General features: G+C 51.7%; 1 protein-coding gene across 6 annotated transcripts in view, besides 4 other annotated features; it reads left to right on the top strand.

Annotated features, from left to right (window-relative positions):
- Positions 2,631-2,925: a silencer, noted in NCBI's record as "tiled region #15126; HepG2 Repressive non-DNase unmatched - State 10:DNaseD, and K562 Repressive non-DNase unmatched - State 10:DNaseD". NCBI's record gives its function as "represses a minimal TATA promoter and a strong SV40 promoter by Sharpr-MPRA in HepG2 and K562 cells {active_cell/tissue: HepG2 | K562}" and the evidence as "EXISTENCE:reporter gene assay evidence [ECO:0000049][PMID:27701403]".
- Positions 8,261-27,528, top strand: part of SULT4A1 (sulfotransferase family 4A member 1) — a 38,005-nt gene continuing 18,737 nt past the window's right edge. For all 6 annotated transcript variants that reach the window (XR_937839.4, XM_011530121.2, NM_014351.4 and 3 more), the window contains exon 1: positions 8,261-8,560. Coding sequence is in view for 5 of the 6 variants with exons in the window: in XM_011530121.2 (XP_011528423.1) it covers positions 8,392-8,560 (169 nt within the window). In the remaining variant the exon portion in view is untranslated. The remainder of the gene's footprint in view (positions 8,561-27,528) is intronic.
- Positions 9,946-10,445: an enhancer, noted in NCBI's record as "H3K4me1 hESC enhancer chr22:44256209-44256708 (GRCh37/hg19 assembly coordinates)". NCBI's record gives its function as "activates a minimal SCP1, AML or CMV promoter by ChIP-STARR-seq in naive H9 embryonic stem cells {active_cell/tissue: H9 hESC(naive)}" and the evidence as "EXISTENCE:reporter gene assay evidence [ECO:0000049][PMID:30033119]".
- Positions 18,520-19,019: an enhancer, noted in NCBI's record as "H3K4me1 hESC enhancer chr22:44247635-44248134 (GRCh37/hg19 assembly coordinates)". NCBI's record gives its function as "activates a minimal SCP1, AML or CMV promoter by ChIP-STARR-seq in naive H9 embryonic stem cells {active_cell/tissue: H9 hESC(naive)}" and the evidence as "EXISTENCE:reporter gene assay evidence [ECO:0000049][PMID:30033119]".
- Positions 24,838-25,663: an enhancer, noted in NCBI's record as "H3K4me1 hESC enhancer chr22:44240991-44241816 (GRCh37/hg19 assembly coordinates)". NCBI's record gives its function as "activates a minimal SCP1, AML or CMV promoter by ChIP-STARR-seq in naive H9 embryonic stem cells {active_cell/tissue: H9 hESC(naive)}" and the evidence as "EXISTENCE:reporter gene assay evidence [ECO:0000049][PMID:30033119]".

The raw sequence follows: 27,528 nt of genomic DNA, 5'->3' as shown, positions 1-27,528 counted from the left end.
CTACTCAGCCATCAGCCATAAAAAAGAAATGAATTGACGGTATTTGCAGTACTTGCAGCAATCTGGGTAAGATTGGAGGCTATATTCTTTTGTTTTTTTTTTTTGAGACAGAGTCTCGCTCTGTCACCCAGGCTGGAGGGCAGTGGCGCAATCTCGGCTCACTGAAAGCTCCGCCGATTGGAGGCTATATTCTAAGTGAAGTAACTCAGAAATGGAAAACCAAATATTATATGTTCTCACTCATAAATGAGAGCTAAGCTATGAGGATGCAAAGGCATAAGAATGACACAATGGACTTTGGGGACTCAGGGGGAAAGGGTTCTAAGGGGGTGAGGGATAAAAGACTACAAATTGGGTGCAGTGTACACTGCTCAGGTGATGGGTGCACCAAAATCTCACAAATCACCACTAAAGAACTTACTCGTGTAACCAAACACCACCTGTTCCCCAGTTACCTATGGAAATAAAACATTTAAAAAAACTATAGTCCAGTATCACAACCAAGATACTGGCATTGATAGATCAATTCACATGGAAGGGTCCCTTATGTTTTCCTTTCATAGGCACACTCATTTCCCTTCTGCTCCCACCCTCTCCTTAACCCATAACAAACACTTGTCTATTCTCCATTTTTGTAATTTTGTTATTTCAAGAATACTATATAAATGGAATAATATAGTATGTAATCTTTGGGGCTTATCTTTTTACATTCAGCATGATTCTCTGGAGATTCATCCAGGTTGTTGCATTTATCAATCGTTCATTCCTTTTTTACCGCTGAATAGTATTCCATAGTATGGATGTACCATAGTTTGTTTAACCATTCGCTCAGTGAATGAATATATCAATACTTTGTTTCCAGTTTTTGCTGTTATGAATAAAGCTACTAGAAACGTTAAAAAAAGAATATTTTCTATCTGTGATTCCAAAAGGGGGTAGGATATAATGAGGCATGCCCGACCACTGCTTCCCATCATATATATATATATATATATATATATATATATATATATATATATATATATATAATCATGGGATTACAGGCACACACTACATCTGGCTAAGTTTTGTATTTTTAGTAGAGACGGGGTTTCGCCATGTTGGTCAGACTGGTCTCAAACTCCTGACCTCAGACAATCTATCCTCCTTGGCCACCCAAAGTCCTGGGATTACAGGCAAGAGCCACTGCGCCCGGCCTTTTTTATTTTTTATTTTTTTAAATTGAGATGAATCTCACTCTGTTGCCCAGGCTGGAGTGCAGTGGCATGCTCTTGGCTCACTACAACCTCTGCCTCCCAGGTTCAAGCTATTCTGGTGCCTCAGCCTCCCATGTAGCTGGGATTACAGGCGTGTGCCACAACACCCGGCTAAGTTTTTGTATTTTTAGTAGAGTTGGGGTTTCATTATGTTGGCCAGGCTGGTCTCAAATTCCTGACCTCAAGTGATCCACCCGCCTTGGTCTCCCAAAGTGCTAGGATTACAGGCATGAGCCACCACGCCCAGCCTCAAGGGCCAGATTCTTTACTGCATCCTGTTTCATCAGCAAGGTCTTTGTGACCCGTACCTTGTTCTGACCTACTATCTCATTCTGTGACTAAGAATGCCTAGCCCCCTGGGAATGCAGCCCAGTAGGTCTCAGCATTATTTTACCCAGCCTCTGTTCAAAAAGGAGTCACGCTGGTTTGAATGCCTCTGACAATATGGGATGATACATTTCAATTTGCACCTATTTATCCAATTTGTCTTTTCTCCCCTTTTCTCTATCTCAATCTAACAACCTCTAACCCAAATTTCTCCAAAGCCATCAGCTTGGGTTTTTTGTTTGTTTGTTTGTTTGTTTGTTTTCTGTCACCCAGGCTGGAGTGCAGGGGGCATGATCTTGGCTCACTGCAGCTTTGACCTCCCAGGCTCAAGCAATCCTCCTGTCTCAGCCTCCTGAGTAGCTGGGCATGTGTGTGCCACCACATCTGGTCAATTTTTTCTATTTTGAAAAAGATGGGGTTTTGCTGTGTTGCCCAAGCTGGTCTCGAACTCCTGGGCTCAAGTGAGCCTCCCACCTCAGCCTCCCAAAGTGCTGTGATTACAGGTGTGAGCCACTGCAGCCATCCTGGCTTGGCTTTTGATATGTGAAACTTGTTTGAAGTTTCAAAGCGGGGAATTGAAGGAAATTAAAATATTTCACATCAAAATATATTTCTTTGACATATTTTGAAATGGCTGCCACTTGGTCATCTTGACAGAAGTGGCCTTGCAAAGCTGCCTTAAGTGGGGAAATTTGCATCTGTAGAGAATCTCATGCATGCTGCCAGGCCCTTCCCCTCCCCCACCTTTCTATTCTTTCCCCAGACCCAAGAGCGATTGGGACTCTCACACCCTTTACCATCTATTCTCTCCAAGGGAGGCTTCATCCACATAACAAGGACATCTTTGCTAGTCCAGCTTCTTTTCCCCTCTTATAATCTGTTTTACTAGAATCTAAGCTCCTGTTCTTTCTGTAACCTCAAAATGGTATGTAAGATTCTGTAACTCATGGGGAAGCTGGGCCTTCATTCTGAAGGCTCCCGTGTATGCACATTAAATTTGTATGCCTTTTCTCCTATTAAGAAGAAGATAGCACATAGAAATAGGAAAAGATGCCCCAAGACAGAACATAACAAAGGAAAATCAGGGGCGTCGGGAGTTGTGGTCACCCAGCGTGCCAGGATGGAAGGGCAGGGGGATAAAGGGGAAGCTGTGCGTTCAGCACCGCGGACAGCGACCTGCCTTCCCTGCTGTCTCAGCAGCCTTGGGAATGGGTATCAGAGGGCTGAGATTTGGAGATCTGCTAGATTAAGCTTACTGAAGAAGAGCCTCTTCAGGACAAAGTGCTATCCAGCCCCTTCTTATGCCCCTTCTTATGCAGCGGTGAGGTTTTCTCTATTCAAAGGCTCAGGCCTTGATGGACATTTTCGGCTCATGAGAAGTTACTGCTTTCTGCTCTTTAAGGATATCTTGTCAAAAAACAATTGGTCATAGATGTTTGGGTATATTTTTGAGCTTTCTATTCTGTTCCATTTATTTACATGTTTATGCTTATGTCAGTTACATATTGTTTTGATTTACAGTGTTAAGGTAAGTAGCTTTATAATAAGTCTTTAAATCAGGTAGTGTGAGCCCTCAAACTTTGCTATTCTTTTTAAAAATTATTTTGCCCATTCTAGGTTCTTTTTCTTCTTATTTATTTATTTATTTATTTATTTATTTTGAGATGGAGTCTCGCTCTGTCGCCCAGGCTGGAGTGCAGTGGCACAATCTCGGCTCACTGCAATCTCCACCTCCCGGGTTCACGCCATTCTCTTGTCTCAGCCTCCCCAGTAGCTGGGACTACAGGCACCCGCCACCGTGCCCGGCTAATTTTTTGTATTTTTAGTAGAGACGGGGTTTCACCGTCTTAGCCAGGATGGTCTCGATCTCCTGATCTCATGATCCGCCCGCCTTGGCCTCCCAAAGTGCTGGGATTACAGGCGTGAGCCACCGCGCCTGGCCTATTTTTCTATATAAATTTTAGAGTCAGCTTGTCAATTTCAACAGCAGAGTCCAGTGGGATTTTACCTGGAATTGCACTGACTCTATAGATAAATGTGAGGAGGCCAGGCACGGTGGCTCACGCTTGTAATCCCAGCACTTTGGGAGGCTGAGGCAGGCAGATCACGAGGTCAGGAGTTTGAGACTAGCCTGGCCAGCATGGTGAAACCCTGTCTCTACTAAAAACAATACAAAAAAATGAGCCGGGCATGGTGATGCATGCCTGTAATCCCAGCTAGTCAGCAGGCTGAGGCAGGAGAATTGCTTGAACCCAGGAGGCAGAGGTTGCAGTGAGCCAAGATCGCGCCACTGCACTCCAGCCTGGGCGACAGAGTGAGACTCTGTCTCAAACAAACAAACAAAAAAAAGTGAGAATGGGCAGAATGGGCACCTTAACAATGCTGAATCCATTAACAGGGTATAATTCTCCATTTCTTTAAGTTTTAAAACATTTCTCTCACTCATGTTTTGTAGGTTTTGCTACACAAATCTTGTGCATATTTTCCTACATATATTATAAGTATTTAATAGTTTTCAATGCTATTAAAAATGGTATTTTTGAAACTGCAATTCCCAATTGTTGGTTGCTAGTATGTATAAATAGGATTGTTTTTATTTGTTGGCCTTGTATCCTATGACCTTGCTAAACTCACTTATTAGTTCTAGCAGCCTTTTTGCAAATTCCTAGGGATTTTCTGTTAATAAAGGTTTTTCTTTAGGTTTCTATTCTGAAAAAAAGTTAAATGTATAGAAAAGTTTACTGCAATTGCGGTAGGCAGAATAACAGTCCTCCAAAGATGTCCACATTCCAGTCCTGGGAGCCTGTGAATATGTTATATTATATGTCAAAGTCAAACTAAGGTTGTAGATGAAATTAAGGTTGCTGATCAGCTGATCTTAAAATAGGGAGATTATCTTGGATTATTGGGTGGGTACAATGTAATCACAAGGGTCCTTAAAAGTGGAGGACGGAGACAGAAGAAGAGTCAATGTAAGAGCGATATGGCCAAGCGCAGTGGGTCATGCCTGTAATCCCAGCACTTCGGGAGTTCGAGGCAGGTGGATCAACTGAGGTCGGGAGTTCAAGACCAGCTGCACCAACATGGAGAAACCCTGTCTCTAATAAAAATACAAAATTAGTCGGGCGTGGTAGTGCATGCCTATAATCCCAGCTACTCAGGAGGCTGAGGCAGGAGAATTGCTTGAACCTGGGAGGCGGAGGTTGCAGTGATCCGAGATCGTGCCACTGTACTCCAGCCTGGGCAACAAGAGTGAAACTTTGTCTCAAATAAACAAGTAAACAAAAAGAGTGATACGATGTGAGAAAGACTGTGTCTGCCATTTTGAAGATGGAAAGAGACCATGAGCTAGAGAATGTGGGTGGCTTCTAGAAGCTAAAGAAAGCAAGGAAATAGGTTCTCCCCTGGATCCTCCAGAAAGGAATGCTAGCCCTGCTGACACCTTCCTTTTGGTCTAGTGGTACCAGCATCAGACTTCTGACTTACAGAGCTGAGTTTGTGGTAATTCATTATAGCAAAATAGAAAATGACTACATAATGAACATATATCATCACCTACATTCACCAATTGTGGCTTTTCCCACATTTTCTTTCTCGCTCTCAATGTGTATACATACATGTGCTTGCATTAGGGTTATAATTGTGGTTTTATTTTTGTAAAACCATTTGAAAGTAAGTGGCAGACATCATGATTCTTCACCCCCAAATACTTCCACATGTACCTCTGAGGCAAATGGACATTTTTACATAACCACAGTGCAGTTTTCAAATTTAGGAAATTTAAAATAGAATATCATCTAATCTAGAGTCTATATTCAAATATTGCAAATTATCTCATTAATGTCCATTATGGCTTTTTTTTTTCAGACGGAGTCTTTTTCTGTCACCCAGGCTGGAGTGCAGTGGTGCAATCTCAGCCCACTGAAACTTCCATCTCCCAGGTTCAAGCAATCCTCCTGCCTCAGCCTCCTGAGTAGCTGGGATTATGGTGCGTGTCACCACTCCCAGCTAATTTTGACCAGACCTCACTTACAAAACAAACCCAAAGATAAATGCAACAATTTCAAGATAGTGACCACAGACCATTAAATTCCAAAGTGTGGGGCCCTTCTGAGCACAGAACCCTGTGTGACTCCCCTGGTTGCGTATCCGTGAAGCAAGGCCTGCATCTATGTCCATGTCTGTACTTTTATCTATGTCTATATCTTCATGTAACCGCCACTAAGAGCAAGCTATGATGTTTCCAACACTATGGAGGGTAGGTAACCTTGAGTCTGCTCCCAGTCAACCCTCTTTCCAATGCCCCAGGTTAAGACTATTCTCACCTCTATCACTATAGATCAGTTTTGCTTGGTTTTGACTGTATATAAATAGAATCATATGACATACCATTTTTTGTGCTTGACTTAGTTTGTTCATCATTTTGACTGTGACATTCTTCTCAGTTACATTCCTTTTTTAAAAAAATTACTGTATTCCATTGTATGAATATATCGCAATTTATCTATTCTACTGTTGGGTACGTGGGTTTTTTCCCATTTTTGTCTAACATGCTCAAATTGTTTCCGATTTGACCTATGATAATACTTTCATGTTATACCCTGTGTCCTTCTGACCTATTCCCAACATTTTTGAACTTGCAGGAGTTCAAGACTCAACAAGACATTTTAGGCTCATCTTGTACTTTCCTTGCCCTGGAGTTGGCTTTTTCTCCAAGAAACCCCAGGTTCATTTGGTGAGGGAAGTATTTAGCAAAGATCTGGGCAGTGGGTATGCCTAGTATTATTGAGATATCACTGCCTAAAGGCTTTTCCAGCAAATATAAGAAATAGGAATTTTAAAATATCATAAACTCATGTCAATACCTCCAATTCCAATCCAATACCATAGAGTTCTTCCCTGCCTTCTCGCATTCCCCACTTACATTTTCCTTCTCCCACAGTGAGAACCCTCACCTGAAACATCAGGATATTCATTCATTCACTCAATCCCTCTAGCTTTTGGCTAGATGCCCTTTTGCCATTGGCCTAATTATTCTGAATAAAGGCTGGGTGCTCGGAATGTCCTCTTTCTTTTTTGGAAAGACATCTACAAGCTTCCCAAGTCAGGATTAATTGCTGTTTCCTCTCTCTGTCTGCTATGTACACATGGCCTGCGCTTCTCAGCCCATGTGTATGTCTTTGGTGTCAGAATGCACGTGTCTCACTCTACAGTAAGAAGGAGAGAGTAGGAATAGGTCCCGTCCAGCCACTCTGCTCCAGATTCTTGTTGGTGTAAACTCCTTCCATCTTCCTGGCTACACTACTTAGAGGTAGGAATCATTCTTTTCCTTTACACAGCTGATGATGCTCGGCTGCAGAGAATGAGAGCAGGCTGTGTTGTTTTCATCTTTGTGCTTCCCCAGGCATGTTAGTAGGTGCTTCATATATGTCTGTTGAGTGCATGACTGGCAAGGGGTTGCACTGAGATCTCTAGAACTCGGTTGCTCTCAAATTATAGTTTGCACAAGAAGTGCCTTACTAAATGTATATTTTTGTAATTTTTCTCCATAGATCTGGGGTCCTGGAATTTGCAATCCAACACTCCCCTCCCCTACTCATGGGATATTAAGAAGCACTTTTTGGCTGGGCGAGGTGGTTCACACCTGTAATCCCAGCACTTTGGGAGGCCAAGGTGGGCAGATCACGAGGTCAGGAGATTGAGACCATCCTGGCTAACACGATGAAACCCCGTCTCTACTAAAACAAACAAACAAAAAATACAAAAAATTAGCCAGGCATGGTGGCATGTGCCTGTAGTCCCAGCTACTCGGGAGGCTGAGCCAGGAGAATGGCGTAAACCCGGGAGGTGGAGCTTGCAGTGAGCTGAGATCGCGCCCCTGCACTCCAGCCTGGGCGACACAGCGAGACTCCATCTCAAAAAAAAAAAAAAAAAAAAAAAAGCAAAAAAAAAGCACTTTGTTTTTTTGGCTGGACTAGGTGGCCCATACTTTTTTTTTGTTGTTGTTAGAAGATCTCGTCCTGTTGCCCAGACTGGAGTGCAGTGGTGCAAGCTCACAGCTCACTGCTAATTTTTTTTTTTGTATGTTTGTAGAGATGCGGTTTCACCATTTACCCAGGTTGGTCTCGAACTCTTGACCTCAGGAGATCCGCCCGTGCTCGACCTCTCAAAGTGCTGAGATTACAGGCGTGATCCACCGCGCCTGGCGAAGACGCATATTTTTAATAGGACCTAATATTTACCTGAAATTATCTTGGTTATTTACCAATGTAAGCTCCAACAGGGCCAGGCTTCTGCTTGCTTCTACCCTGACGCGTGTCGGGGCCCTGGCCCAGTGCCTGGCACAGATCAGCAGCGCGCTAAGCACGTGTTGAATGGACGACTACCTTTCAGGGCCTTCCAGCCAGGGTATCTCATGCGTCTGTGTTGAGCGCTTGCTGAGTGACAGAAGCTATGAGCGGAATGAACGCACGCACGACTGAGGAGGCTGCAGACCGCGGGCCAGGGTCTCTGTCAGCCCCGGCAGCGGGTGGGTGACCCCGGCCGGGGGCGGGGCGGGGAGGACGCGGCTCCGCGGCGCCATGACGTCACGCCCGTGCAGCGCCGCGGCCGCGTGCCGGGCGGCGCCATGACGTCATACCCGCGGAGCCTCCGCCGCGCGTCGGCGGCGCCATGACGTCACGCCTGCGGAGCTGCCGCCGCGCGCCGGTGGGGCGCGAGCGTGTGCGGGGCGCGGGCGCGGGCGCGGGCGCGGGCGCGTGCGGGCTGCGAGCCGGGAGGCGGCGGCGGCGACGGCGACGGCGGCGGCATGGCGGAGAGCGAGGCCGAGACCCCCAGCACCCCGGGGGAGTTCGAGAGCAAGTACTTCGAGTTCCATGGCGTGCGGCTGCCGCCCTTCTGCCGCGGGAAGATGGAGGAGATCGCCAACTTCCCGGTGCGGCCCAGCGACGTGTGGATCGTCACCTACCCCAAGTCCGGTGAGCCCCGCGCCGACCGCGCCCGCCACGCCATGCCCCAGCCCTGCAGCGCGGCCGCGTAGACGCCGCGCCCGCGCCCGGGGCTTCTGCTGGGCCGGGTGGTCGCCCTTGGCCTCCGCCCCTGCCGTGCCCACCGCTCTCCCGATGCTCGGATCCCTGCGGGGCGGGGTGGGGTGGGGTGGGGGTGGGAAGGGGCTTGGTTCTCATCTGGGGAAACCAAGGTCAGAGACCTTCGGGAGCGGCCCCTTCCGTGGAGATGGAGCCTATTTGGCCGGCGCTGCAGGAGGATGGGCCCAGGGCCGCCACCCATCCCTGCTTCTCCCTTTACCTGGCTGGCTGTGTGACCTTGGACAGGTCACTCAACCTCTCTGTTCCTGAATCCTGCCCAACCTTTGATGAGTGCAAAGTCCTGGTGTTCACCTGGGAAGGGAGATAACATGGGCGTCAGGGCTTTCAGCGTGGAAACGTAACGTCCCTCCTTTCCAGCCTGGGCTCCGGGTGGGGGATGGGACCAGTCCCCGCCTGGAGTGCCTTGCTTGTACATTCTCTTGTTTCAGGGCTGCCTCCATCACCGAGGCAGGACCTGGGGCATTCACATTTCCCAGCATTAGCTGACGTCACTTTCACAATAACAGCTGTGTGAGCTAGTGGTGGTCATTCCCACTTTACAGTCTAGGCACAGAGGCTCAGAGAGGGGAAGAGGCTGGTCCAAGGTCACTCAGCTGGTGAGTGGCTGACCTGGGAATTAAAGCTAGGCTGGTCTGTTTCCAGACCTGAGGTAGGAGATTGTATAGTACCCCATCTGAGGTTTTTAGGGAAAGGAGGTAGCAGCTTTCCTGTTCTGTAAACATGCCCTGGGATTTCCTTGTTGCCACTGTATTTGAGGCAATCACAGCGTGGTTTAGAAGGTGTCTGGCTCTAAGGTCACGCCGGACCAGCAGTCGGGCAGTTTCAGGAAAAGCTGTAGGCTTGGCTGTTGTAGCTGTATGGAGTTCCAGACACCTGAGGGCAGGTCTCTGACATTCTTCTGAGGAAGATTGGAGTAGGGACTCTCAGTGGAGGGTGTTGGTTGGAGAACAGAGCGTTCGATGGGCTGCTATCTTGAGCACATGCCAGTCGCCGCATGGGGTGGGACCTAAAATGCTTTAGGAATGGCTAAGCGTGTCGTTGGCTTCTGTGGCCACTCATTAAGTCCTGCGGGCCAAGTGCTCTATCGCTGTTAATCTGTGAGGGACTCTTACACCTTTTTTTCAGAGGCTCAGAGAAGGCACAAATTGTTCGGAGTCACACAGTTGCTGAGGGACAGAGGTCAGGTCTAGCTAGGTCTCCCGGTCCACGGCCAGCCTCTCCCCTGCCTTATGGGTGCTCCGTTGCCCTTGGAAAACCGTGAGGGCCCAAGAAGGAGGGGGACCTAGCCTTCTTTCTTGGAGGCTTTAAAATGCTGGAAGTCTCAGCCACTTAGGGATTTTGAGGTTTGTGTCACTTCTCTGAGGCCCCTCCAAGTGGACTTCTGGTAGCCCAGTTCATATTTTCTTTTCCTTTCCTTCCATCTGCTACTGGGGATGGATTTGTAGCAGGCATCAGTGCTTACACATTAAGAACCTGGCTTCGGAGTTGGAAGTCCTGGGTTTGAATGCAGTTTTGCGGCTTACCAGCAGAGTGACCCTGGGCAGATCATAGAATCCCATTGAGCTGTGGTCTCTGCGGAGGGAGAAGAGACCACCTCGGCCCGCTGATGTGTGGCTGTGAGGATGAGCAAAATGGCGGGTGAGAACGCTTAGCCCACGTCCAGACACACGCTGGAAAGGCTCGTGGTTAATGCTGACTTTTAAGCCCTGAACACCTGTTGTGCCCAGATGCTTTGCTAGGGGCTGGGGAAGCCGAGAGGGCCCCATCTGGTGCCTGTCCTTAGTGAGCTCTCAGTCTGATGGGGGAGACATGGTTGGTGCTGGGGTTGGGGCAAGTAGCCAGGACTAACAGGTGCCCCATTCACCTGCCATGGCAGGGAACCCACGGGCCTCCTTGGATTTCCAGTGCCCAGGTGTAGGAGATCCTAATGAACTTGCAGGTGGTCAGAGCCGGAAGGGCCTGGTCCCTTGTCAGCCCCTTCCCACCCTCTGCTGATGGAGAAACTGGGGTTCAAAGGGGTGGTGGGGGCTTTCTGGTGGCTAAGGCAATGATAATTAGATCCTGCCTTCGCTTCCTGTCCGGTATTTTTTCCCACAACCCCGTGCTGCTTGCTCGGATTCTTTTTGTGCTTGCGACATTCTAGCTTAGATGGCGGGTTAGGACTGTGCTCTCCAGCGTAGGACCCTCTGCCCACAGGCGGCTGCTTACATCTAATGAATTAAAATGAAATAAAAGTGGAAATTCTGTTCCTCAGTAGCATCACCATGTTTCAGGTGCTCAGTAGCCACATGGGGCTAGCGGCTGCCGTATTGGGTGGCGCAGATATGGAGTGTTCCCATCACAGCTGAAAGTTCTGCTGCACAGCGCCAGGTAAAACCGTGATCCAGACAGTAGGAGCCCATTGTGTCTTCTGAGAAGGACCTTTCTGTTGATGACCGACTTTGTTCCTATTCATTCTTACAGCGTAGTTGGTCCTGGGACGGTGGTTGTATTAAATCCGATTGTGTCTGTGAAAATATTTTGTCCCTGTGTGTTGGTTTGATGCAATCACTGCCACTGGTTTTGTCAACAGGTTGATTTGAATTGGGTGCTCGTCCCCGAGGGGGCACAGCCCCAAAGTCATGGAGCTTGGGCTTTGAAATACGGTCCCTGGCTCAGCCAGAGCACCCACTGCCCTGAGTTTATTTTGCCCCTGGTTCCGGCCAGTCCTGAAGTGTGTGCGCATTCTCACTGATGCAGACGGAAGCTTCTGGGCCTGGGCGTGGGTGAGCCACCTGGTTTCTTTGAACCTCAGTTTGCTCATTAAAAATGAGAGGATTTGACCAGATTGATTCATTTAAGTCTTACATTTTCAGACAACTCAGGGGTTGAAGCTGAGGGGAGCTGAAGCTGAGGGGAGACTCATGGTGTGCAGGTCCCAGGCTAGATGGATGTCCTAGTTTTCTTGGTGTGTATGTCACTGTGCCTGGGAGAGACAGGTTTCAGAAGGGCTGGGCATGAGGTGATGGTGACCTTGTGGCACTTGCAGTGACATGGGGGAAGCCAGAATCCTAACACTGAAAAGTTAACTGACAAGCCAGGGTGGCTGTTCTCAGGGTCAGGTAAATGGCCTGGTAATGAGGGTTCTGAAGAGGAGGATCTCGGGAGACTGCATGGAGGAGGAGACAGGTTGGGTGGATTACCCATTACAGATGCTGTTTTGCCCTCCACCCACTTTGATTCTCAGGACGGCCCTGTGCTCTTGTGATTATTTCCTTTTTATAGATGTGAAAATGAGGGCCTAGGGAGGACAAAGGGCTGGGGTAGTGGCAGCACCGAGTGTAGATCCTGGAGAGAAACCACCCACAGGAGGGGGTAAGAGAGGCGTGGGGGTGGGAGCTAGCACCTGCCAGCGCTTCCTGGGTTACCAGTTTGTTCTGAGATGAGGGAGCATGCGGAGCCCTTTGAGCTTTACCACACAGGGTAACAAAGTGTTCCACAGCAGTGTGGTGAGTTACCTGCGTCCTATGAGGGAATGCAGAGGCCTGAAGAATGGAACGTGTGGTTTTGTACCAGAAGAACTGAGAAGTTCCTCTTTCCCCATCTTTCTCCTCTTGCTCCCTCATCCCTTCCCCTTTGTCTTCCGGCTGTTACACATACTCAGGAGGCTTGACCTGGGGAAGGGGCTGCCAAAGCAAGTGTCCTGGGTCTGCGGGGGTCACGTTTCTCCCCATCACTCAACCGGGCTGGGAGGCAAAAGCCTGCAGAATGACTTCTGGAGGAAGAAGGAGATGGGGCTGCTGGGAGCACAGCCTCCTGAGTAGTTGGCCCTGGTTGAACTTGTAGTTGGTTTGAACTCCTGGGCTTAAATAATCCTCCTGCCTTGGCCTCCCAAAGTCCTGGGATTATGGGTGTGAGCCACCATGGCTGGCCATAGTTTCTTTTGCCTTGGCCTCCCAAAGTACTGGGATTACAGGTGTGAGTCACAGTGCTTGGCCATAGTTTCTTTTCTTTCTTTCTTTTTTTTTCTTTCTTTCCTTTTTTTTTTTTTTTTTTGAGACAGGATCTTACTCTATTGCCCAGGCTGGAGTGCAGTGATGCAATCATGGCTCACTGCAGCCTCCACCTCCTGGGCTCAAGCAATCCTCCTGCCTCAGCCTCCCAAGTAGCTAGGACTGCAGGTGTGCGCCACCACACCTGGCTAATTTTTTGTATTTTTGTAGAGATAGGGTCTCACCATGTTGCCTAGGCTGGTCTTGGACTCATGGGCTCAAATGATCCTCTTACCTCGGCCTCCCAAAGTGCTGAGATTACAGGCGTGAGCTGCTATGCCAGGCCTTGGCTTGTTTAGCTTCTGCTGAAATGTTGGCTTGTTCTTTTTTCCACTGGGTAATGTGCCTGTTTTCCTCTGGCTGCCTTCAATGTTTTCTCTTTGTCTTTGATTTTCAGCACTTTGAATATGGTATGTCTAGGGTTTTTGTATGTGTGTGTTAATTATTCTACTTGGGATTCCTCTAAGCCTCTTGGATCTGTGGTTTGATGCTTTTCATTATTTTGGAAAAATTCTCAGCCATTATCTTAGAAAATGTTTCTTTTACCTCATTCTTTCTTCCTTTGAGATTCCAATTACATATATGTTAGATTGTTTGATGTTGTCCTCCAGCTCTTGGATGTTGTATTCTGTTTTCTGTTTTCTTCCCTCTTTTTTCTTTCCTTTTTTTTTTTTTTTTTTTTTGAGACAGGATCTCACTGTGCTGCTCAGACTGGCCTAGAATTCCTGGGCTTAAGCAGTCCTCTTTCCTCAGCCTCCTGAGTAGCTGGGTCTGCAGGCATACTGCTGCACCTGGCTTCTTTCTTTTTCTCTTTTTGTTCCAGTTTGGGTAATCTCTGTGGACCGATCTGTGGCTAACTGCTCCTTTCTTCTGCTGTGTCAAGTCTGCTGATGAGCTGTCAGAAGCATTCAATGTTTCTGTTATGTTTTTTTCCCTCTAGCATTTCCACTTAGAGTTTCCATTTCTCTGCTGAAATAATCCCATCTATTCATGTGTGTTGTCCATCTTTTCCTTGGGAACCTTTAACATGTTAATCAGACTTCTTAAAAATTCCATGAGTCTAATTCTGTTGATTGCTTTGTCTCTTGACAGTTTTGTTTGTGTGTGTGCGCGTGTGCCTTTTTTGTGAATAGTACCTTTTGACTGCTCAACACAGCATATTAGATAGTAGAGACTAAGGTCAGCCATATTTATGCTTGCAAATGAGGCCGGCTTTTCAACTGCTAGGCCATTAGTATAAGGAATTGAGTTAACCCCGCCTCGTTGGTCTGGTTTGGGTTCGGGTGTTGATCTGATTACCTTGAGTGACCACTGGTTTCATATTATTGTAGTGTTAGCTTGCGTTCAGTGGAGGGGCTGAGTTTCCAGAGGTTTTTTCTCAGTGTTCCTGCTCCACCTCCACCTTTTGGTCTTCCTCGTAGGTCTGAACCTTGGAGGAGTTTTGTCTGCACACTCTTGCCCCTGTGCCAGTGATCGACTCTGCTGTTATCTGTTACTTTGGTTTAGTAGCTTGGTAGGGAGGGTTTGGGGTTCTCTGTTGTGTTGTCTAGCTGCAGTCTTCTGCAGGCTCCATGTTGCTGGGTCTGGGTAGGGCTTTTTCATTGATCCTGCCCTCCTCTGAGTGGCAGCCAAACTGCCTGGATGGTAACTCTTGTGCAGGAGTTTCATGTCCCTTCTGTAGCACTGAGAATCTCTAGTAGTCAGGGCCCAGGGACAGTTTCCTGCCCCTCCCCCAAGGGCAGAGTCTTGGTTTTTCCTTTTGCCCATCTCCAGCCACATTGGGTCTTCACCAGTGCCCTGGGAGGTGACACGGTTTGCTGCCCCTCTCTCAGTGACTTAAAGCCTTTTTTCTGTAAGGGAGAAGGGTACAAGTAGGATGTTTTTCTTTTCCTACAGCCATGATACTGAGGAAGGCTCTCTCCAAAGCATGCTGCCCCCAACTCTTTCTCCTGAGCACCTGGCCTAGGTCTGGAGAAGAGCCTGTGTTTGGGTGTGAACTCTGCTCAGTGTGAGATTCTCTGGCTTCTCTGGCTTCAGAGGTTCTGTGCTGTCACATGGGCTCACCCTTGGCTTTTACCAGCATGGAAACATTTTACCTGAATTCCTCTCGCCACCTGCATGGGCTGGCTTCTCTTCCTCCAGGGCCCTGTCTCAAGTGAGCTGGTGCTTGCCTCCTGCCACTCTGTGGAAGGGCCCATCTTGGTTGAGTGAAACTAGGATCTTGTATTTTATCTGACCTCTCCCTGTTAGTGTGGGGGCAGCTCTTTCCAGTGTCCTGCATCTAGGGGGAAGTGGCCCTAGTGGTCCCTCCTGATCTCCGACCACTAGATCAGGTGGTGGGCATGTCTGTAGCTCCTGGGATGTGGGACAGGATGTTGCACAGTGTGACTGTGTTATGGTTAGCAGGGAGCGGGCTCCTAGCGTGGGCTTCTGGAGGGAGCGAGAGGAGAGTGGAGGGCCCATTGAGAGGTGGAAGCCTCCCTAAAGCATGCTTTGGAGACTTGCTGGCATTTTCTGGAAGCTAAACCAGTCATTTTGTGGGGGCTGGTGAGCCAGAGGCCCTGGCTTGGGCTTCAGGACTTGGCTCAGCTTGAAATGAGCCAGACTCTCCTGGGACCTGTTGACCCCACCAGCGGCAGGGGCATTGGACTAGGTGGTTGGCATTTGTCCTGCTCAAGCCTCAGAACAACCAGGGAGGAAAGCGGGTTTCCTGTCTTTGTGCCAAGTACTTTGTTTTATCCTCCCCATCCTCACAACTTTGCCATGAAATAGGCCATTTTTTGGGTAAGGAACCAAGACCCTGAGAAGAAACTGGCCTAGGCCAGCCCAACTCTGCAGGTGGCATCTCCCTGCGCTGCCACCTCCTTCCAATGGGCCTGGCTTTGGGTGGTGCCAGCCCCGGGGTCATGAGTGGGGTCAGTGCCTCGTCCACTGTGACTGTCCGCACCATCGTCGCTGCTGCTGATGCCTGGAGGGTGCTCTGTGGGGAATTACATTGAGTTCATCACTGTCCTCACCTTCCAGATGAGGAACCCACATAGAGGGGCAGATCTTGTCCAGTGTCCCGTCGTCTGGAGGCAGCCGAGCTGGTTTCCAAATCAGGCCTCTCAGATCCAGAGTCCTCATGACTGTCGCCTCTCTCAGGGCCTGCCCAGGCATGTGAGCGGGTGTGCTTTCGTACTAGAGAGTGGGCCTCCGCTAGTCAGGTGGGAGGTGGTCTCAGAAGGCAAGGGGGGAAGAAGCCAGGAAAGGGGTTCCTCTGTGGAACCCTGGGGCTCAGCCTGCCAGGATCCCTTGAGAGACGACATGAACACAGCCAGGAGCCTTCTTTGGCGTGTGGGGGGCAGGTGCCAACTCTTGTCCTTTAGTGGTTGGGTGTGGCTCAGGGCGTCGGCTCCCTGCACTTCTGGGCCTGTTCCTCTGTGGCCAGGTGGGAAGCAGGTGCAGGTGCTTGAGGTCAGAAGCCCTCACCAGCGCTGCAGGTGACCTCTAGGGCAGCTGAGGGGTGTAGGTGGGCACTGGTAGGCTCTGCTGGAGGAGGGGACCAGTTATAAAGACTTAGGTCTGAATTTTGATTTTGGGCAAGGCCCTGATTCTTTCCCAGCTGGTCTTGGCCAGACTGTCCCCCGTGTGTGCAGATTGACTAGATCCCTGCTTCGGGCTGGGCTTGGCGGGGGCAGCTGTGCTCCAGGCACCTCTTTTTCTCTTCCTGGGACTAGCAGCCTAGCCTGGGCCAATGGCCTTCTCTTGGCGACAGTGGAAGTGCAGAAGAATAAGCAGAGACATGCAAAGGTCTCTGTTGGCCATGTCACATGGTCGTGCCCAGAGTCAGAGCAGGACCTTTATGAGGGGCCGTGAAGTCCCGCGGCAAAGATGTGCATGGGGCATGTGTTGGGGTCATTGCCCTGTCTGCCATTGTTGTCCGCACCATCATCACCACTACTGATGTCATGAGAGTGCTACATGAGGGCAAACCACCACTGATGTCTTGAGAGTGCTACATGAGGGCAAACTGGGGCCCTTAATGCCGCACACCAGAGCCTCCTTTCCCCAAAGCTTCTTACAACTAGTTTCTCCCTCATCCTTAAGGTCCCATTGCAAAGGCTGTTTTTTTACAAAAGCCTTCCCTGACTTTCTCTCACACAAGGGCGGAGCCTCTTCCCCTTGAGGCAGAGCTTCTGCCCCCTGGGGCGGAGCCTCTTCTCCCTGGGGTGGAGCCACGCTCTGCTTGCTGTGCCAGCTCTGTCTGAAGGTGCAGCAGCCTCTTGGTAGCCTCTTGGCAGCCTCAGGGTTGTATACCCGGAACAGAAGAGCTAAAGGCCTAGGAGAAGTTCACTTTGAGGAAACTGAGGCCCAGAGGAGCGGTGACTTTCAGGCCTCCCAGAGTCACTGGCAGAGCTAGGCTGGGAATCTGGTCTCCAGGTCAGAGTCTCATCAGACAGAGGCTGGGGCCAAGCCAGGGTTGCCGGAGCTTCCTGGACTGGTCAGGCCTGACTGTGGAACCCAGCATGCCACAGCTGCCTGGCATCACCCCAGCAGGAGGAGGGAGGCACGGCCAGTGACTGTGCCTGTTTCCGCTCTGCATCCAGCAGGGGTCTGGCTGTGGACGTGGCCCAGAGTGGGCAGGGGTGGGGTGGGGATGGCTGCAATTCGTTTCCCAGGGTCCCAGGCCCAGAAGTGAGCTGCCACTGTCATGGGTGGAGGTCAGTCCCAGCAACTGCCCCATCTGTTTCACCCTTGCTTGATCGTAGCTAGAAAATGGTCAGAGATTTAGCCCGCAAGTGAGTACACATGGGACGTGGCCCTGTTTCGCTGCTCACTTGCTTTGTGAGCCTTGGTGCTGTGTGTGTGTAGTGTGTGTGGGTGTATGTGTGTGGTGTGTGTGCATGTGTTGTGTGTTTGTGTGTGGAGTGAGTGTGAGTGCACGTGGTCTGTGTCTGGTGTGTGTGTGCGTGCTGTGTTTGGAGGAGTGTGTGTGGTCTGTGTGTTATGTATGTGGTGTGCGTGAGTATACATGTGTGTCTGTGTGTCTGATGGGTGTGTAAAGCACTCTGGTTCTGGAGCGAAAGTTTGAGGTGCTGGGTTCACTGCCCACTGGCCTCTGTGGCCCTGGACATTCCATCCCTGAACTTGTGTGGTCCTGTGTGAAGCTGGATGGTAATAGCAGCTCCAGTGAGGTGGGTGAGACCCAAGGGGGAAGTCGTAGCGAGCTCCTGGGTCTCTGTCAGCATGTCCTCAGCTGGTGCTGTGAGCTGGGCTCCGGAAGTCTTGGTTCCCCATCTAGTTGCCAGCCGGGTGACCAGGAACTCTACTTTTCCTCTTAGAGCTTCCCGTCGTGCTCTGTGTCGAGGGCATTGTGTTGAGAGCTGAGAGACAGTGTGCGGAAGCACAGGGACAAGGACTGGCCGCAGCAGGCGTTTAACAGACGTCCTTCACCTTTTCCTTTTCCTTTTGGAGGTGGGGAGCATTCTCAGTGTCTGCTGGGGGGCAGTTCCCACCTGGATGGGGGCAGGAGCTCCCAGGTCCTGGGCTGTTGCCTGGCCCTGATGGGTTGCCCCTTTAAAAGTTCAGCTGTGGGCCAGGCGTGGTGGCTTACATTTGTAATCCCAGCACTTTGGGAGGCTGAGGCAGGAGAATTGCTTGAGCCTAGGAGTTCAAGACCGTCTGGGCAACATAGGGAGACCCCCATCTCTACAAAAAAAAAACAACAAAAAAAAACCTAGCCAGGTGTGGTGGTGTGTGCCTGTGGTCCCAGCTACTTAGGAGGCTGAGGTGGGAGGATCCCTTGGACCCAGGAGGGTGAGGCTGCAGTGAGCCATGTTCAGCCTGAGCCACAGAGAGAGACCCTGCCTCCAAAAACAAAAAAAAGTCTAGCTGTTGCTGTTTCTCAGGGAGCTGGGGGATTCTGGCATCCCTGTGGATATCCCGGGACTCCAGAACCCTGTAGGGGGCTGTGTTTCAGTGGGGCAGACTGAACACACACGCTGGTGTCTGTTTCCTCTTGAAACCTCACTAAAGTGACAATAAAGGGATAGAAAGCTCTGAACTCCCAGAGCAGGAGAGGAGGGCGTGGTGGATTAGAAACCCAGAAGATCACAGGCAGGGCTGAGTGCTGTCTCACTGGGCAGGCGGGGAGCCTGAATGCCGCAGTCGTGAGGGTGGCCAGGTGGGAACGAATTCCAGCAGCCCAGCCCAGGAAGCAGCTGAGGTGGTGTCCATGACACTGGGGATGGAAACTAGAGGCTGTCACCAAGACAGTTTTCTTCTTCGGGGACCAGAGAGGCTGTGATGTGAGGGTCCTGTGACAGCTGAAGGCTGGGACACAGGGCATGTGGGAAGTAGGATCTCCCACAGGCTGCACACTTGGAGGGTGGGATTACCAGCCCCTCCTCTCCTCAGCTCTCAGGATGCCTGTGACCTGGTTCCAGTCTCCAGGCTGGGGTTGGAGGCACCCTCTTTTGAGAAATTGACCCCAAAGCAGAGCCCTGTACCTCCCACCGAAGTGACAGGTCCTCAGCTGTGAAAGCACCAAGGCTGCTCCCCCAGGCACGTGTGACCCCCAGGGCTGCTCCCACGGTCTCTCCTTCACCTGTGAGTGGACTCAAGATCACCAGGTAGCGAGTCTCCAACAGGAAGGATAGAGATCTGCAGAGACAAAACACAAAGCAGAAAAAAGAACTCCGAGAAAGCAAAGACCATGTGAGGAGCAGAAGAAAACCTAAAAACCCAGAATAACACCACCTCCACTCATAAGTCTTTGCAGTATCCTCTGAGCGTCAAGACACGTGTTGCTTTCACTAAAGGAACCAGCAGTGAAGACTGGAATAACGAGTGATCATCAAAGACTCCTGGAGATGAAAAGTGTGATGGTGGAGGTTTTAATTGCACAGTTGTGAGGTTTGGGTTGTCAGGCTGAGAAAATAGCCCAGGAAGTAGAATAAAAATTTTTACAAAATGGTGACAAACAAGAGCAAAAATATAAGAAAAATGGAAGATTAATCCTGGAGTTCCAGAAAGGGAACAGAGTACGGAAGAGAGAAAATTATTGAAGCTAGATTTTCAGAATGTTCAGAGCTCAATAAAAGACACCCCCAACCCTTGCCAACTGTCTGGCCTAGTGAATGAGTAAACTGGGGCAAAGGGAAGATCTCAAAGCTCCCACAGAGAGAAAAATGGGCCCCCAGGATCTCAGCGGCACCATCGGCAGTGAGAAGACAGGATGACGGAAAGCGATCTCCAGCCTGGGCTTCTGTACCCGACCAGACTGTCCCTCACATGGGAGGTGGATGTGGACGTTTGCAGTCACCTCAGTCTCACATGCCCAGGAAGCAGCCCGGGCACCTGCAGTCAGGGGACGTGGAGAAAGGACCAGTGCACCCAAGGTAGGGGGAGGTCCAGGAAGATCCTGTGCAGCCATGCCAGGCCGTTCACTCAGATGAGGGAGGGAGAGCAGAGGGAACAGGGGCATGTCCCCAAGCAGCAAACAGGATCGAGCGAACACCCACCCATGTCTCTGGCCACGTTGAGGCTTGTTAGAGTTGTGGAAGGAATGATTAATAGCAATATAGAAAATGAAATAAGCAAACTAAGGCAGTTACCTACTCTGGGAAAAGTGAAATAGAATACAGAAGAGGAAATGTAATCACTACATGGTGTACTTTGCATTAAACACCAAATTAAGCCTTGAATTAAATCCAAAATCGTGCTGCGACTGTATCGGCAGGAGGGAAGCTTGTGAGTAAGGGAACTTGGCTAAGTCCTCATCTTTCGTAGTCGAAAATCATTAGCCCATCTAAAATGTGCAGATCATAAAATAATGATATCAGTACACTTTTTGGAAATTTGAGGGTAAAAATAATCTACCAAAGGTCTCCTTCCGGGGAGTGGGATTAGAGGAGGAGAGAACCGTGGGTCTTTGTGCCTTACAGGACTGACTTTTTCAACTAGGTGCAGGTGAAGCCAGACATTTCCCGACTGCTTCGCAGGCGGGAGCTGGAGTACACGAGTGCTGGAGTCAGCTGGCTGCTCTGGCACTGGCAGGGGTGGACTCCACTCACTCAAACCTCCTTCGTTCCACCCTCCAGGGAGGGAGCACGCAGGTGAGCGAGGCAGGAACAAACTTTGTACCAGCCCCGCAGCAGCACCTGGGGTTCAGAGGAAGTTTTCCAGTGCTCTTTTAACCCAGCTGTCGGGGCTTAAGTGTTACCAGCTCAGTGGGCCCCTCTGCCTTTTCATGTGAGGCGGCTGCCTTCTGCCAGCGAGGGTTAAGGGTCAGTGTGACAGCCTTTTGCACCTGCACTCGTGGCACCCGAGTTCTTGTCTGGCATCCAGGAGGAATGAGGCTGCATGAACGAATTGAAGATGGTAAATGTGGGGGATTTTATTGCTGATGAAAGTGGCTCTCAGCGGGAAGGGGAGCTGAAAATGGGACTGAGTGGGAAGGTTATCTTCCCCTGGAGTCTGGCCATCCCTGGCCAGACTCTCCGAAGCTACACCATGAGCCTGTTCCTCTGAAGTCACACTGCTTCTGTCCGATGTCCAACCGTAGTCTCTGACGTCCAGTTACTTTTTCTCTCTCTGCTGGCTGAATTCTGGGGTTTTTATAAGCACAGGATTGGGGGCAGGGAGTGGTTTTGGAAGAGATAACATCTGAGCGGGAAAACGGGGATGTAAGCTGTCACTTTGGGTCTTGGTATCAGGCCTTTTGGCTTGAGGGTGGGACCCCTGCTGGGGACCTGCCGTCTTCTGCCCCATCTTTCCCTGCCCCCTGTCCCTATCACAGGTGCAACTGGTGAATCCTGTGAGTGAAAATCAGAGGGTTTCAGCCACAGGGTCCTAGTGGTTTCCAGGCCATTCTGATCAGTTCTGATGCTTTCTGTGAGTTCTGGTGGGAATTTTGATGGGCTCTGTGCCCGGTGTTGAGACAGGCCATGCCCTAGAGTCCTGGGGAGTTCCACCCCAGAACAGCAGTGGCCTCCCACAGGCCTCGACCCAAGTCCAGGTGTCACTGTGCACTGCTCGCTGCTGCAGGGGGTATTGATCGGTTTGCCACTCAGAAGTGATTGCAGTGGTGTCAGCAGAAGCACTTCTGTGAATTACTGCTTCCAGCCGACTTGCGAAGAGCTGCTGGAGAGCGTTTGGCTCGAGTCACTGGCCAGCAGGTGGCTCTGCCCTGTTGGCTCCCCTGGTTTCTGTTTGAAAGCTTGACTCTTCCCCACTCAGGGTGGATCTACTGGGGCCTGGGCTGGCTTCCAGCTGCCCAGCTGTGATGAGGAAGATTGGTGCCCTCCCAGGCCCCCACCTCGGCAGCGGTGTATTTGCCCTCACTGCTCTGCAAGGGGCCCAGTGTGGCCACAGCCCCATGCCCCCTGTTTGTCCCACAGCAACATGACAGGCCTCACTAGGACTCCTCCACCTCTCACTCCTGCCTTGGCCCCACCTGGCCCTGCTGGGAAGCGACTCCAGCTCCAGGCGTGGCCCCCACTTCCCAGTGCCTTGTTTCCCTGTCAGTAAGGGCAGTGCTTGTGGACCCTCCTGCTCGAGGCTAGTGGAGGGAACCACAGGGTTGGCTGTGGGCATTGCTTTGCCTGCTCCAGGTGTGTGGCTTCATCGGTAGGTCCCAGGAGGGTCCGGTCCTGTGCTGTGGATGAGGGTTGCCAGGTTTGCTGTGAGACTGTGGCGTGTCCTTGCACGGGAGCAGGCCCTGTTGCTGGTGCCCCATCTTGATTTCAGTTGCTGAGTTGACATTTGTTTATATTGATTCTCTTTGGGCCTCAGCAGGTCACTTTGTGGCCCTTCTGCGTGTCATCTCCTTTGACCCCAGCAGCTCTGTGAAGAAGGGAGGGGCATCACCACCTCCATTTTCTGGAAGGTGGCAGGGATGGTGTCATTCCTGGGACTCCTGGGCCAGCCTGGAGCCTGGCACATAGTGAGCCCTCTGCTGAGTGAATAAAAGGCTCGCTGGGTGGGTGGGGGTACCTGTGCTGGGGTCAGAGCGCCAGGCAGGAATTAGGAGGGTGGTGGCAAGGCGGGTGGAGGGGAGAGCAGCAGAAGAGGATTCTCCCTCAGTCTCCAGAAAGGGGCGCAGCCCTGCCCACACCTCGACTTTGGGACTTCTGGCCTCCAGAACTGTGAGAGAATACGTTTCTTTTGTTTTAAGGCACCACGTTTTGGGTGATCTCCAGCAGCACCCCAGGAAACTAAAACAGTGACTAAGACCAGTTCCCTGCCCTCACAGGGCTTGCCCCAGCCAGGCACAGCGTGACAGTGTGCTAGGACAGTGTCCAGGGCTCTGTGGGACCAGGCAGGGGCACCTGATCGAGAGGCGTGTTGTTAGGGAGGGCTTCCTGCGAGCAGTGACCCACAGAGCAAGCCCAAGCTGGCCAGGCAGAGGGCAGCCTGTTGAAGGCTTTGGGCCACTGGGGCGCTGGGCTTGGAAGGGGGTGGGAGGCTGGCCAGAGAAGAGGGGGTGGGTGGAGGGCTGGCAGGGCCACATCACTGGGACCTCAGGAGCCCCTGGGTGCAGATGGCCACAGCAAGGGTGGGTGGAGGGGCTGTGCAGGGCTCATGCCCATGCCCAAGGGCACCACCAGGAGCATGGAGAGAGACCAGTGGGAGGAGTGCTGGGTGCCACAGCTTGGCGTCTGGCAGAGGGCCTTGCAGAGCTAGGGCTGTCTTCAAAGCTGGGTTTGATCTTTGGTTCCAAGTGCTTAGAAGTGTGCCTGGAATGGGGTAAGTGACCAGATAGTATAATGACCATTTTTCTTTGATCATGTTATCACATCTTGCCAGCTGGCTTTATGCCCTAGGAAGGCCGGGGCCTGTTCCCTGCGTGTTTCGTGGTGTGTGTTCTCGGTGCCCCTCCCTCCCTGATGCCCACGTTGACCTGCTGTTGAATTCTCCTGGAAGCTGGAAAACGTAAGGTCAGGAGGTGTTCAACCAGGAAATTGATGTGGCAGGCTGGAGAGAAGGGCCACGGGGACAGGGCCGGGTGGACCTGACGAGTCAAGAGCTTCCTTTGGCTGATATTCTGGCATAAATATTTAATGGGGGTGAGGACGGGACTTGTGGAACTGAAGTGGCCGATATTGATGTAAGAAGACTTTAACGTGCAGAGAAGGTCTGTCTGGGTCGTTGGCCTGCGGGGCTGCACGGGTGGGGAACGTGAAAAATAGGTGATGAAAATGTCACTGGGAGAGGCCCATTTCAGGGACGCTGCCCACAGTCTGATTTCTAAGGACAAAGACCCCCTCACTGCAGCTGTCCTGAGCTGCTGGGTGGATGGTCCTCACCAGGAGGAACAGGCAAGGCAGCCACACCCTGGTTCTATAACCCTTGGCACATTTTGGCCTTAGCCTCGTCTGCCATGAGGATGGTGGTACTTCCTACTCAGGTTGGTGGGAGAGTCCATGGGCTGAGAAGTTCTTTGTGTGTATTGAAAAGAGCTTGTTTTCCATCACCAAGCCAGACCACTTCCTTCCTTCAGTGCCTTTGCTCCAAAGCTCCCTCCTCCAGGAAGTCTTCCTTGATCAACACATCCCCTTCTGATTACTCAGTGTCTATGCAGCAACCAGCGTTTGTCGGTCCACTCAGGAAATATGAATTGAGCATGGCCACATGCTGGCTCTCCTGGTGCAGCAAAGAACAAGACAAAACAGCCTCTGTCCTTAAGGTGGAAAGAGGAGAGAGCATGTAAAAGAATTTGCAGGCTTTTTCTGGGCAGGTAGATAGCACATTGGAATCGCATGACAGGGCGAGGGACGGGAGTTAGTCCCACAGCTAGTGAAGGAGACTGTGCTGACTGAGCGGCATCTGAGCAGGCGCAGGGAGGAGTCAGGGAGTGAGGAGGCTCCAGGCAGGGACACCAGTGTCGGCAGCCTGGGGAAGGGCCGGTTGGGCTCAGAGGCTGGAGGGAGCTCAGGGGAGAGCCAGGTGGTGAGGGAGTGGAACATGGTGAAGGCCTTGCGTTGACTCTGTGGGAGGCAGAGCTGCCTGACGGCGGCAGTGGACAGTGGTGGAGTCTGACTTCCATGTTAAAGCCACAGTTTTGGCCGCTGGGTTGAAAACAGGTAGAATAGTGGTCCCCAACCTTTTTGGCACCAGGGAGTGGTTTTGCGGAAGACAGTTTTTCCATGGACCCAGGTGGTGGGTGATGGGGATGGTTTCAGGATGAAACTGCTCCACCTCAGATCATCGGGGTTTAGTTAGATTCTCATGAGGACCACATAGCCCAGATCCCTCGCAGGTGCAGTTCACAATAGAGTTTGTGCTCCTATGAGAATCTCGTGTTCCCGCTGATCTGACAGGAGGCAGAGCTCAGGCTGGAATGCTTTCCCGCCCAGTGCTCGCCTCCTCCTGTGCGTCTCGGTTCGGAACAGGCCACAGACCCGTGGCCTGGGGGTTGGGGACCCCTGGACTAGAAGGCAGAGTGAGCTGGGTGGCAGCAGAGAGCCAGGGAGGAGCCCTCGTAGGAAGCAGTTCAGGTGTGAGGACGCAGTGTCACAGGGGGAGGGTCAGCTCTGGACACACCCGACGGCAGGGTCGGCGGGGCTCACTGAGGCAAGGACAGAGGAGAGGAGCCGGGTGAGCCACAGTGAGGCCACCATCCGGCCTGAGCCTCTGTCAGCTGGAGGGGCTGCTTGCTGAGACGGGCTGCGGATGCTGCGGAGGAGACAGCCTTGGATGCTGCCCCCAGAGCTGGCTGGGTCCCACTGAGGCGCTGGGCAGCGGGTGAGGTACTGGAGTTGGTGGGCATGTGCCCCGGAGGCTGATGTGTGGAGGGGTGGACCTGGGTTTGGCCTGGGGGCAGGGGACCAGGGCTGCACTCCGGGCTGTCACCACGTTCAGGGCGGGGAGATGAGGAGCCAGTGGCAGAAACTGGAGCCGCCGATATGAAGGGACCACAGTGGGTTAAGCTGTGCCCGTTTCTTCTGGGAGGTCAGACAAGGTGATGACTGAGAATCACTGGGGACCTGGAGCTGTTTTTGGGCCTGGGAATAGAGGCTGGAGAAGGCGCAGAGGGCCGCCTTTCTCCCTGGGAGTTACCTTTGGTCCCGGCACACTTCTGGTTGGGTGTCCTGCCTGGCCCTAGGGTCCTCGAATGGGACTCTGCACTCAAGGCACCAGTGCATGTGGTCAGCCCCATGTGTGGTCCAGGCGGGGCCCCGCTTCCTCCTGCCTGCACCAGGTGTGGAGCCGGTCACAGTGCCTGCTCCCCTGGGCCGTAGCAGGGAGGAGAGGGCCTGTCCCGTGCATCCCAGGGTGTGCACTGCAGGTGATCCCGGCCATCAGAAAAGGCCGACTTGAAGGGGCAGGGGCTCTGAGACAGCTGTGCCTAGGCTGAGGCTGGGAGGAGCATACAGGCAGAGCGGAGAGTGCTGTGGTTGGCCCTGCCCAGGAGGGTGCAGCCTGGACCCCGCACCAGGTGTGCAGAGCTCAGAGGGCCTCAGTAAATGATTGAATGCCTGGGCCTGAGTGTGTGAACATTGGGAAGCTACGGAAGGGTTTTGGGCTGGAGGCCGTCGGACCTGAGTGCGAAATGTGCTGTTTGTCCTAGAGGGACGGTTCCCAGACCCAGGCAGGAGGCCTGGCTCAGCCGCGTGGCTGATTTGTGAGGAGGGAGAATTGGTCCATAGGTCTCTAGCCCTGTGGGCAGCTGTGGTCCTGTGAGTGAGTGCCAGGGTGTCCTCAGCACACACGAGCTCCCCCGCAGGCCTCTCCCTGCCTTTAATGGCACGGCACGCTGGGCTTGCCCAGGCTCTTCCCGTTGGCCACATCTCCCCACAGTCTTAGGAGAGGAGGTTATGCTGACCAGGCCACTGGCGGGCGGAGGTGATTTGTCTCTTTTTAATTGAATTATATCTTACATGTGCGTATCAGTTGGAGAAAAGCCCTCAAACCGCTTTTCCTCTGCTCTCACACAAGAGTCAACACAGAGGCCTCCTGTGGCGGACAGGCTGGGGATTTCTCCCCGCCAGCAAGCAGGCACTCAGTCCTGCAGCAGCACCAGCTGGATGTCCCCCAGTCCAGTTCAATTCCAGCACTGCCCACCTGGAGACAGCACGAGATCCCACGGGGCGAGGTCTCAGTCCCACAAGACTGCCCCCAGTTCTGATGCCAACCACAAGCCCCAGGTTGTTTTGCCTGTGTGTCTCACCCACTGGCTATAAATTGGGGTTCGCACACCCTCCCTGCCCACGTTTGACTAATTTGCCAGAGCGGCTCACAGAACTCAGGGCAACACTGACATTTCCTGGTTTATTATAAAGGATGTTACAAAGGCTTCTGATGAATACCAGAGGAAGAGACGTCTGTGGAGGATGGAGGAGGGTACGGAGCTTCCATGCCCTCTCTGGGCAAGCCACCCTCCAGGAACCCCCATGTGTTCAGCTCTTTGGAAGCTCCTCAAAGCCTGTCCTCTTGGGCCTTTTATGGAACCCTCATTGGCTAGGCATGGTGGAAGCATGTAGAAATGGGACTGGACAAAAGGGCTGTGAGCCCAACACTGTCAGTCGGAGTGGGGAGCCCAGGAAGGCCTGCCTGTGCGACATTCCTTCCTCCCCTTCTGAACTGGGGGTCTCATGACCCACACAGTCAGAAAAGGCAGGTCAGAGAATTTTTCTTTTTGTTTTTTGAGATAGATTCTCACTCTGTTGCCCAGGCTGGAGTGCAGTGGTGCAGTCACAGCTCACTGCAGCCTCTACCTCCTGGGTTCAAGCGATCCTCTCACCTAAGCCTCTTGAGTAGCTGGCACTACAGATGTATGCCACTATGCCCAGCTAATGTTTTTATTTTTTATTTTTTGTAGGG

This window comes from Homo sapiens, chromosome 22, assembly GCF_000001405.40.
Source record: "Homo sapiens chromosome 22, GRCh38.p14 Primary Assembly".
Taxonomy (NCBI): Eukaryota; Metazoa; Chordata; class Mammalia; order Primates; family Hominidae; genus Homo; species Homo sapiens.
The sequence above is the reverse complement of the archived record's forward strand: the minus strand, read 5'-3'. Positions and strand labels throughout refer to the sequence as shown.